We start from the raw sequence: 11,861 nt of genomic DNA, 5'->3' as shown, positions 1-11,861 counted from the left end.
GGTCATGAGATCGAGACCATCCAGGCTAACACAGTGAAACTCCATCTCTACTAAAAATACAAAAAATTAGCCAGGCATGGTGGCGGGTGCCTGTAGTCCCAGTTACTCGGGAGGCTGATGCAGGAGAATGGTGTGAACCCCGGAGGCGGAACTTGCAGTGAGCCGAGATCGCGCCACTGCACTCCAGCCTGGGCGACAGAGTGAGACTCCGTCTCAAAAAAAGAAAAAAAAAAAAAAAAAAAGAAAAGAAAAAAGGAATGAAGGGAGGAAGGAAATGGCAGAATGGAGGAACTTACTATGATCTCCAACTATGTTTTTTTAAACCTTGTTCACTGCATCTGTACTGAAAACTGTGATGGTAGGTTTTCAGCTGGTGGAGCATTTCTTGGGATATCTCGCAGCATGTGTCGAGGAACAAATCATGTATTTTTTTATTGACAAAGAAATGATGAGCTCCACATCCAGGAGAAGTTAAGGAAAAAATCTCTCCTCCCTGCCCCTACTTAAAGCCTCTCTTTTGTTATCTACTGGTTCTCATTTGGACCTCCCACCTGTCTGCATCTCTCTCTTGCTGGTTTGTATTTAAGAGGAACCTTTTCGTATCAGGCTATTTTATAATGCTGAGAATTTCTGTCTCTCTGAATTGCTCAAAGTTGAGACTTTAAGAATAAACATTTTATAAGCCATTTTCATAGCTGTTCCTGTTTCTATTGCCACACTTTAAGGAGGGTCCATCTTCTGCAATACACACTGTGGACAATGAATGCCTCCCCAGCCACTGTTTGCTTGAGAAATTCTCCCTCAACACTGTTATGTTCTTTCCTGGTTCTGTTTCATGTCCCCACACTCTGTGCCTTTGTTGTGGTGCTGGCCTCTTGAGTGTAACAGAAGAGTTGGTATGAATAGTGTAGCAGGTAATAACAGTGACTTAACCAGGTGAGGATTCTTGATCTTACCCCAAGAGAAGTCCAACAGCCTAGTGCAGATAGGGAAGAAGCGGACTCTTTTCACCACTTTGCTCCATCATGGTTCGTGTGCTGGCTTTCCTCCTCATGCCTGTTGCTTCATGGCTGCACAATGAATGCCGGGCTGCAAAGTGCTATCACAACTGTTCTCTGGGCTGGAAGAAAGAAGAGGTGGAGGTGATGGTACCAGCACCCTTCAATGGCCAGAACTGTCACATGGTGTTTCTGGAATCTCTAACCAGGTTTTTCCTCTGCTTTCACACCAACACAGTAACAGTCAACACAGAAGACTTCTGTGACCCCAAGGTATGGGATATTTCCCCACCAGCAAACAAGCAATCACCTCCGCAGCAAATACCAGCTGGGTGTCCTCCAGTTCTATTCTGACAATATCTACCTAGAGATGGCATCAGATCCCATAGATTGAGGCCTCGGTCCCCAAGACTGCCCCTGTCACCCCACATCAGTCACAAGTCTGGGCCTTCAGAACTTCTGACAAACTGGCTTCAAATTGGGGTTTGCATGACCCCTTCTTTGGGTTCAATTAATTTCCTGGAGCAGCTCACAGAACTCAGGGAAACACTTATGTTTACCAGTTTATTATAAAAGGATATTACAAAGGAAACAGATGAAGAGATGCACAGGGCGAGGTATGGGGAAAAGGGTGTGGAGCTTCCATGCCTTCCTGGGGCACACCATCCTCCAGGAACTTCCAGTCCTCTTGGTTTTGTTTTGTTTTGTTTTGTTTTTGAGATGGAGTCTGGCTCTGTAGCCCAGACGGGAGTGCAGTGGTGCGATTTGGCTCACTGCAACCTCCGCCTCTTGGGTTCAAGCTATTCTCCTGCCTTAGCCTCCTGAGTAGCTGGGACTACAGGTGCACACCACCACACCCAGCTAAGTTTTGTATTTTTAGTGGAGATGGGGTTTCACCATGTTGGCCAGCCTGGCCTTGAACTCCTGACCTCAGGTGATCTGCCCACCTTGGCCTCCCAAAGTGCTGAGATGACAGGTGTGAGCCACCACGCCAGCCCTCTTGAGTTTTTTTGTTTGTTTGTTTGTTTGTTTTTGAGACAGAGTTTCACTCTTGTTGCCCAGGCTGGAGTGCAATGCTTGGTCTTGAACTCCTGACCTCAGGTGATCCACCCGCCTCGGCCTCCCAAAGTGCTGGGATTACAGGTGTGAGCCACCATGCCAAGCCTGCCCTCTTGGGTTTTTATGGAAGCTTCATGATGTCACCATTGCTTTCCTCAGGATATGGGGTGGGTCCCTCTCAGGGGAGGGTCCTAAGACCCACAGTCAGAAAGGAGGGGGAAAGATTAGAGTACTGCCTTGGGGCAGGTGAAAGGAGAGCAGAAGCAGGTTAGAGAGGTTCTGTTTCTTGAGGTCTGTTCCTGAGGCCTAACATACCCAACACTGTAACAAAATACTGTAACAAGGGCTATGGGTGTTGGGAGCTAGGAACTGTAGACAAAAATTAATATATATCATAACACACACATCGCCCCTCAAATTTCAAGGGAGGCTAGGACGTGGAGATTTTAGCTTTCACTGCTTTCGTAGGAGATAACAATGTAAAAGAAGTGAGTTGGAAATGATATCAGCCAAACTGTAGTGTTTGCCACAATTGTGGACAGACTAAATCCCTTTCCAATCTCTCTCTGGTAGTCAGAAGTGATTGATTTCATTATGTTCTCGATATTTCATTATCATGCTCCTTCCCTAATTTCACATAGCATACCATTTGTTTAAAAATTAAATACCCACTCTGTAGGCTGCATTAGAACAAGGATAGTAATCACGATGATATTGATTTGTTCATTAAATCCCACAATTACTGTTTGATTATTGAGTATCTGTCTACATTGCCAAGCACTGAGATACAATGTTCACTGATGTATATTTCCTCTCATTGAAAATGTCTTATCTATACCATGCTTTATCAATTAGGAATGCTTTTAGCTACTAAAAGGAGAAAATTCAACTCATAGTGATTTAAACCATATTAAAAATCTATAATTTACTTTTTAAATAATTCAAATGGAGGTGAGAAGCTCTACAATGTTAGATCACTGGGAGTATGTCTCTGTGACCCCCCACCTGGTTACAAGAAGGCTGCTAGAGCTCTAAACACCTTCAAGAATGTGCCCGAAGACAGTCATGATGGTGAGAGAACTATTCTCTCACGTCTCCTTATTTTATCAGAGAATACAATCTTCCCCAGAGGCCTCCTTAGCAAACTCATTGGCTACAGCAGGATCAAGTGGCCATTACTTGCTTTAAGGGATGCTAGAAGAGTATCTGGTGAGAAGGGAGAGGGGATTGTGAATTAATACTGGGTAGCCAACCAAGAGTGTTGTCATAAACACTTTATAGCTTTCCATATACTGTCGCATTCATGATCTCATCTTGTGACTCAATGAGACTACTATCCAAACATACTGGAAACCCAAACCTGGAATAGGTGTTATAAGTGGCATCTGCTATGTGGGAACTTCTGGCTGTGAAGTAATTTAATGGTCCTTTAAAGGTACAAATTTAATGCAAAGGGGCTTAAATAAATTATAATGCATTTTGCTTACAAAGTGTGCATGGAAGAACATAAGGAGTAATTCAGAAGATATTATAGTTTAGTAAGATAATTAGAAAGAGAAATCAAGATATGTGGATTATAGCCTCAGCTTTGGGTAAGACACTGGAAGAATTTCGAGCCTCTGTTTTGTCAGCTGTAAAATTACATACTTGAACAAGATTAGATGATCTCTAAATTCCTTCTCAAAGATAAGAGGACCCATATAACCATGATGCTGGAAGTTGTGAGCTTAAAAAAAATTAAAATAACCTATTTCAATCTCTTTTTAACAATGAGATAACTTAGGGCTTGGGAAGATCACCATTTGTCTGAATTCACTTATTTAAGTTAGAAATTTGAGTCCCAGTATTATACTTTCACAAATAATTGATATTGCATCCTGAAAGATTTTTAAAAATTTGGCCTCTTCTGTCATTTTTTTTTTCATTTTAGGCAGAATCTCTGTGATAGCATTTACTCTGCTTAAGAGAGTGCAAATAATGAGATTTTTTTAAAAGTCATTTTTTAGCTGTAAATTTTTGGGCAAATTACTTCTTATCCTTGCGGTAAAATAATAATTATTCCTTCTTCATAATTTTTCTTTTCTTTTTTGAGGACTGGATAAGTAATCTATTAAGGGACCTTAATGTACTAACACACAGCAAGGAGTCAATCTGTAGTAACCATGATTATCATTAATATGTCTCCAGCCAGCACTTGCGCTTAAGCTTTCTCACACTTAAGAAAGTGTTTGAGAGCAATTTCCCCTGCAGGTTGTACGGAGGTGACTCCGATTCTCACTATTATTCTTTTGTCTTTTATGATCATATCTTCCACCATCATATTATATAGGTATGAAGGCTCTGTGTAATAACTAAGGGTGTGGTACCTAACTGGAAGTCAGACCAATCATTCTTATGCTGTCACTGAAACCAGTAACCGGTGATTTGTAAGAGAAGAGTTAAAACAACTTAAACTCAACAACAACACCAAAAACAAAAACACTTAAATTGGGGATTCTGAATATGGGATTCATGGATGGGCTTTAAGGGAATGGGAAACCACCTGATATTTCATTCAAATGATTGACATTTTGGCCCAGGTAATTTTGGGGACTGTCCTGTGCACTGTATTTAGCAGAATCTCGGGTCTTTACCAACTAGATGCCAGTAATACTCCCCATTCATGGGTTATGATAATCAAAATTATCTTCAGACCTTGCCAAATATCCCTTTCCTTCTTCAGAATCGCTGTGGTAAAGCTTTATATGTCCGCGCATTTTTTTTTCTGGAAGGCTTATCAGTTTCATCGTATTTTTTAAAAGACCTGTGACCTCAAAAGGCTTGGAATCAATCACTTAAGGTCTTTCAAAATAATAATAAAAGAACACATATCTCCAGCTGTCGTTGTGGGAAAAATGTACACCATCACGGCTAATTAAAATGGTGCAGTCTGAAAATCTGCTATGAAATATATACCTACCAATTTATTACTTTCAACTCCTCTAAAAAGACACCTCACAAAAACTATATCTGGGAAACTGTCTACTTCAAAAACTGCTGTTCCCAGATGGCATACTTCTTAAAATACTGTGTTCAGCAGAGACTCCCACAGTCATCTACTGAATCTAGCTCTAAACTTCTAAAGGGGTTAGTGCTAATGACAAGTGGAAAAAGTCCTCAAGTCCAGAGGGGAACTAAAAATCAGTTGTTTCTCAGAAAAGAAATCAAACGATGGAATAAATTGCAAAATTGATCAGGAGGCAGGATGGAGGAGAAGGGAGGGAGGAAGTGAAGGGAAAGGGAGGGAGGGAGGGAGAGAGAGACAGAGAAACAGCAAGAGAGAGAGAGAGAGACCTTTGAAAGAGTGTATCTCTTGGGAGAGGCTCGCTAGAGGTCCGCCCCTGCCTTCTCCCTGGCTCGTCTGGAAAGGCAGCTGCCCCCATGCCATACATGAGCCTTGGGCTGTCTGCTGTGCTTTAATTCCCACGTCCACAACCGCCTCATTCACCGCCTTCCAAAGTGACCACTTCTCAAAAGCCTCCTCAAATCTCAAAGGGGCCACTTTACCCACTCTTTAAGGCCCTCTTTCCCGTCTACGGCTTCTTTTAACGGCGGCAGGAAAACAGGAGCATAAACCCGAACAGTAAACCCAGAAAAGCCCCAACAGGCAAAGTGTGTCATCTTCCGTGGCTCCTCGGGGTCACCCAGGAAGACAAGCAACTTTCTCCCATACTTCTCGGTCTGTCTGCCTTCCCCACTCAGCTTTGAATGAGACGCAGGGAGAGGGGGCGCGAGGGGGCTCGGGGCTAGGGGAGGAGCCGCGAAAGCTGCCCCCGGGGGTGGGCCTGGACCCGCGCGGACAGCGGGGCACCCCCCCACTCCCTTCCCGGCGCTCCAGGAACGTCCCCGGTGCGTCCTGGGTCTGTCTGCGCGGAGTTCCCCGGGGCGCGAGGGGAGGGGACTGGAGAAAGAGGAGGGCCGGGCAGCGGAGGGGAGGAGGCGGTGCGTGCCTCGCCTGCCAAAGGGAGATCCGCTCCTCTGCGTGCGATCCCCGGCGCCCGCGCGCGCCCACAGCGCTCCGCCAGAGCTGCCGCCGCGGACTCGCCGGGAGTGGGGGTCTCCGCTGGTGCCAGCCCGCTTCTGGAGACCCTCCGCCTCCTGCCAACCCCTGCTCTTCCAGGTCGGGCCCCGGGGTTCTGCGGCTGTTAGGGACAGAGGCAAAGAAGGGCAGGACGGTCCGGTTTCCCGTGGATGTTCCCGCCCGAGAAAGACAGCAAGTTGTGTGTGCGCCCGGGACGCGGGAGGGAAGGTGGCCGCCGCCCGCCAGCCATGTAAGTAAATCACTCGGCTGCCCCGTGGGCGTGGGCTCCGCTGCTTTCTCCCGGGCTCCCTCTCTGCCCCGGAGCCGGAGTTGGGCTGCTCCCGGGCTCCGGACTTCCTGAGCTCGGCGGATCCGTCGGCTCTGCCTGCCAGCCGCGTCCGCTCTTGGCGTCTGCCTCCGGGGGGTGCTGCCTTCCCATCCTTATCCCCTCCCTTCGTCCAGAGCCGGCTGGAAAATGCCTCTTGCCCCCTTTTAGAATGGAGGGATCATTGTGTGTCTCCATGGGTGGAGTGGCTCGGTGAGGCAATGGCAGGGGGCTAAATATGGGCTTGTCTTGGCGAGGGCGCCTCACCGCAGTTGGAGATGGGGGCCCCCTGCCCGCAGGCCACCCCCTGCTGGTCTTCCCCAGCCTCGTGGCCCAGATAGATCAACTTCAGCCCTGACTGCAGTTGACAAGATTAGAAAAAAAAGTAGTAGCCGACCTCCCGTTTGAGTGACATCCAGAACTGAAAATGGGCGGTGGTTAGAGAAAAAAACGGGTAGGGGCGAGGTGAAGAAAGGGGGAAATTTGCTATGGACCCTGAAAGCTGGAGTTAGGGGTCCTGGGGGTGGAATTCTAGGGTGGATGGGCTCTGTGCTTCTGTATTCATTTCTTTATGGAAAGTGTGAGAAATGGTTAAGGAACTCTTTTTGAAAGGCTGGGGTGGAAGTAGATGCCCCTGGAACCATTTGGATGACTGGGGTTTGATGTAGCATACTGGGAAGTATGGATTGCTGTTCAAATTAGACAATCATTCAGTGGGAGAAATGATTGCAATAGAACTGTTGGAATCAATGAATCAAAACTGCAGACTCAAAATAAGTCATACACAGGCATTCTTTTACACTAGAAGATGTTAAGACTAAAGAAATTCTGAAATGCTGCTGAATGAGTACAAAGAGTGTCTGGTAATAGTTCTGTACTGTGGGTGCCTCCGCAGACCATAATGCTTGTTAAATTTATGGTACTCTGCAATTGTGAAAAATTATCCTAATTAGTTTGTTTGGCTCATGCAGAGAGTTAATGCACCCTTAAAGGGACATAGAAAAGTTGCAACAAACTATGAGCATGAACTTGCAAGCCAAAAAATGGAAATCATGGCATGGTTCATTTTATTTTAATTGTTTATTGCCCAGTGAAAGTGCTACATTACTTTTAATGTGAGTATATAATATATAGAATGAATTCATTGGCCTGTCAAATAAAAATCGGGCGTTTCTTTAAGTAAATAGCTGTCAGAGTTAATTTGGAAATATTTACGGAAGATAAAGACATGAAAAAGCTTTGAGCTGGTTTGACAAAAATCGAGTTATGAAGCTCATAGAGAGAATTAGTTCTTCCCACTTTTAAAGTGTTGAGGCAAGTCTCAATGTTTATTAATTGAAAATTGTAGACTAGCTGAAACAGTGTTATCACTTCTTTTAATGCCTTTAATTTTTAATGTTTCCTGTTGTTTTACCAGGGACCATCATCTTTAGTGCAGAGGATGGAAAGTTGATGCCCAGTAAGACTGAAGATCCATTCTGCATTACGGAACTGTGGATTATCTGTGGGTCCCTGGTGATTTCACACCTTCATTCACTCCTGCAGTCCCTGAACACTTACTTGGGGTCCTCATTGCCCTATCTGGTGAAAGATGGCATCCAGCCTGACTTGTACTGGAGTAATCTGGGCTTTGCTGTCTTTTCTTTGTGCTGCCACCTCCTGCGTGGGGTTCTTTATGCCTTACTGGCTCTGGGGATCACAGCTGGGCAAGCCTGTGTCCTTCGGTACCTTCCGGAGGTGCTCATATCCTGTGCATGATGAGAGTCGGCAGATGATGGTGATGGTGGAGGAATGTGGGCGCTATGCCTCCTTCCAGGGCATCCCCAGCGCAGAATGGAGGATCTGCACCATAGTGACCGGCCTGGGTTGTGGCCTCCTCCTCCTGGTGGCGCTCACTGCCCTCATGGGTTGCTGTGTTTCCGACCTCATCTCCAGGACAGTGGGAAGAGTGGCTGGAGGAATTCAGTTTCTTGGGGGTAAGTGACTTGCTGAGCTTGAGTTGTTTACTGGAATCCCAAAGCAGTATTAAAAGTTATGTTTCAGTTGTCTACTGAGATTATTATAAATGACACCTGGAATGCATAAGAGAAATAGATTTGGAATGGCTTTGATGATAGGTTGCCAAAGTCAAGATTATTGTCAGAATTGCTGCTTTACAACTTCAAGAGTTCTTAATTTCTGTACATATACATCACTGGCCTGCTAAGTGCCACCTATGTGAAACAGTAACATCTAGGTTGTTTGAGGTGTAGTAGGGGCGACAGTTTGGATTTTATAGCTTCTTGTTCGTTATGTTAAACAATAGACAATTAGATTATCTTTGTCTTCATGGAATCCTCGGGTCTTTAAAGGTAAAGATTTCACAGAAAAGTGGAAAAGGTTTTTGATTCAACATTGTTATCATGAACCTCTAATACACTTTGGTGGATGCAAAATTTACTCTTGCCCAATCTTAAACTCTATTTCTAAATAAATGTTAACTATTTTAAATGAGAGATCAGTTTTATATAACAACTATGAACTTAACTATTCTACAGAGATAGCTATCCACTTAATTACCTTGTTAGGTCTTAACTTTCCTGGGTGCTCTTGCTGTGGAAAAAAAGAAAAGGGATATTTAGCAAATGATGTGTGCTTGTCCCAGATGGACTGGATAGTTTCACTAACGCCAGAAAAGGTTTGATTTTTACTTGGATTCCCTCCAGCAAGTATTGCTTCAATATCTTTGGTCATATGGTTTTAATTGTACTTTATGTATTTTCCACTGTGCTTTTCACCTCCATTCTTCAACCTGACTGGCTGAACTTGTCTGATTTACAGTCCACCCTGGTGAAATATGACAACCTCCATAGATAGTGCAGAGTGAAGGGAAATAGGAAGCCTGGAAAACTTATACAATGTATTTGGAACTTCATTACAAAGTAAAGGTCTGTTACTCCCTCATTTGGTGTTTTCTTACAGTCTTTTGTGAAGAATCCAGAAGAAGAAAAATGAATTAAAAATGAGTAGTTGTGAGACAGTCTCCCCATATTAGAGAACCCCAATGGATTATTTCAGAGTATTTAATATAAAACTTTCAAGTAACATTTTCAGTAAAGTTTAATTCTTGTGCTGAAAATGCAAGTGGCAAAGTTTTGTGTTTTGAAATGAGATAGAAAGTTTTGTTTTAAAGTGAGATAGAATTGTCCATTCTTTCCTTACTGATGTAACTTTGTTCTCATTTGGGTTTTTTCCCATTGGGTTTGCACCTTAGTCCCTCCCGGGAGGCAGTGTGGGGGACCTACCTGTCATCTCTTTACAGCTTCAATGTTTAACACTGACAAAAGTCTTGCATGTGATATGTATATTTACACAGGTATGTACTTAAAACTATTAGGAAACCTAAAGAAGTTGTCATTGAAAGTGGAAATGTAAATTCAGAGTTTGAAAACTTACAAATTTTAAGAATAGATTTTAAGAATAGAATTAATGCCAAGAGTATTTAAAATTTTTTTCTGTAAGAATAAAGTTGGTCTGCTGTTTGTGTTTCACTTGGCTCAGGAAAAATGCTTAAGCAGTTTCATTTTCTCCTCTTATGGTAAATATTGCTTTCCATTTTTCCTTCATTTTAGGGCAGGGCCTGCTATTATTTCTGGCAGAACAGGAAAATGCTTACAAAGAGAAATCAGTTTTTATTGATTATCTTTAAACGTGTAATGAAGGAAGGCAACAGGAAGTGAATCTGAGACCCATGAGATTTATGGTTCCTTCCCTAAGCTATGTATAGATTTTTTTTGAATTATATAGAGCTAAATGTTCTACTTTACAGAATACCCAAGGGGACAGACAATTGGGGAAATTATATATATTTTTAAAGAACCATGTTTTTTTCTTTGTGAGTACTTTTCATGAACTCTGGCTTGGTAAGAGTTACTGACATTAAGCTAAGAGTATAGTTTGTTAGTAGCAGCTGGCCGGGTGCGGTGGCTCACGCCTGCAATCCCAGCACTTTGGGAGGCCAAGGCAGGTGGATCACGAGGTCAGGAGATCGAGACCATCCTGGCTAACACGGTGAAACCCGGTCTCCACTAAAAAATACAAAAAAATTAGCCAGGCGTGGTGGTGGGCGCCTGTAGTCCCTGCTACTTCGGAGGCTGAGGCAGGAGAATGGCGTGAACCCAGGAGGTGGAGCTTGCAGTGAGCTGAGATTGGGCCACTACACTCCAGCCTGGGCGACAGAGCAAGACTCTGTCTCAAAATAAATAAATAAAATAAATAAAGATAAATAAAATTTGTTAGTAGCAGCTGATATTCTCTAATTTCTCAAAAATATTTCTCATACTGGCAAAAATAATTCTGGATGTAAAATCTAAGAGGGTTTTACAGAATCTCACCTCTCGAGGGCACAAGTAAACATACCCATTACCAAAGATAACAGTAAATTTAGAATTAAAAAATAACTTGAAATATGGAAAAAGTTTTAAAGAATCTGCTGTTTATCACTGTTACTTAATGGAGACCAGATGACCAAAAAAAAAAAAGTTTCAAAAAGAATTCCCTAGGTAGCTTGTTCATTTCATAATTGTTTGGGTTTTTATTCACAAAAACTTATGCAGTAAGTAATTTTATTTCAATAAATTTTTCCTATGATGAGTTGGGTTTCATAAAGACTCGGCAGAATGCCAAACCAGTGAGTTCTATGAATCTCATAGACTGCCATGCTTCAGAAATGTAATCAACATACAGGGAACTTTGCTATGAGGCAGATTCTCCTGCTAAAAATGATATGCCCAGGAGGGTTATGTTTAGCTAAAGTTAGGCTGCTCCAAAAACAACAGGAAACAGGAGAATGGCAAAATACAGAGGCATCCTGCTTAACCCCGCCTGCTGTGTCTAGAGTTTGTACATATGGTATAACATCAGGCAGTAAAACCCCTGCAGTACTTTGGAACAAGTTAAAGGACAAATTGTCAAACTTAATTCTGAATCTTCTTGCTATGGTTGGTTAGAGGTTAAAATGTCAGCTGTCAACTGATAGAGCAATGTAAAATGGGGCTGCCATACATGGATATTTTCTACCTATAGTAGGAATACCTCAAGGAGTCAGTGACTATCACTTTTCCTGTGGTAATCTGTACAGAAACTTTAATTGCCACCATCTCCATTTCATATTATAAGGTATGTTTATGTCTAACTTTAAAGAACCAGTGTGGGTTGAGTTACCCTCAACTGAGTTTTTAAAAGGCATGTAGAAAGGCTGTGGGGAAATACAATGTAAAATAAAAATGTTAACATGTATATAGTGTGGTAAGGATGCTAGGAGAAAATAGAGGCTTTAATGTTTTTGATTGGTGAATATAAAATTGTGTGCTTTCAAATACCGTTTTAGTCATTAAGGACTTTAACAGAATTTTAAAAAATTAATATCAAACTTTTTGGT

At 42.9% G+C, this 11,861-nt stretch overlaps 2 protein-coding genes across 3 annotated transcripts in view, besides 1 other annotated feature; one reads left to right on the top strand and one right to left on the bottom strand.

Annotated features, from left to right (window-relative positions):
- Nucleotides 1–253: 253 nt before the first annotated feature.
- On the bottom strand, nucleotides 254–7,926 carry LOC112268119 (protein SPT2 homolog). Its single transcript, XM_035861111.2, has 4 exons — nucleotides 7,857–7,926; nucleotides 6,710–6,800; nucleotides 5,608–6,606; nucleotides 254–1,120 (listed from the first exon to the last, which is right to left on the bottom strand). Exons 1-4 carry the CDS (start codon nucleotides 7,924–7,926, stop codon nucleotides 1,051–1,053), a joined length of 1,230 nt encoding a protein of 409 aa, XP_035717004.1. The 3' UTR covers nucleotides 254–1,050.
- Nucleotides 5,863–6,162: a silencer, noted in NCBI's record as "silent region_5277". NCBI's record gives its function as "represses an Ori minimal core promoter by ATAC-STARR-seq in GM12878 lymphoblastoid cells {active_cell/tissue: GM12878}" and the evidence as "EXISTENCE:reporter gene assay evidence [ECO:0000049][PMID:35858748]".
- Nucleotides 6,057–11,861, top strand: part of LHFPL6 (LHFPL tetraspan subfamily member 6) — a 260,302-nt gene continuing 254,497 nt past the window's right edge. Inside the window, exons 1-2 of one of the 2 annotated variants that reach the window (XM_011534861.2) lie at nucleotides 6,057–6,216; nucleotides 7,860–8,418. In XM_011534861.2, coding sequence (XP_011533163.1) covers nucleotides 8,034–8,418 — 385 coding nt within the window. In that variant the 5' untranslated portion in view covers nucleotides 6,057–6,216; nucleotides 7,860–8,033. Of the gene's footprint in view, nucleotides 6,368–7,859; nucleotides 8,419–11,861 lie in introns of both variants that reach the window. The other variant, NM_005780.3, reaches the window with a different exon arrangement.

This window comes from Homo sapiens, chromosome 13, assembly GCF_000001405.40.
Source record: "Homo sapiens chromosome 13, GRCh38.p14 Primary Assembly".
Taxonomy (NCBI): Eukaryota; Metazoa; Chordata; class Mammalia; order Primates; family Hominidae; genus Homo; species Homo sapiens.
The sequence above is the reverse complement of the archived record's forward strand: the minus strand, read 5'-3'. Positions and strand labels throughout refer to the sequence as shown.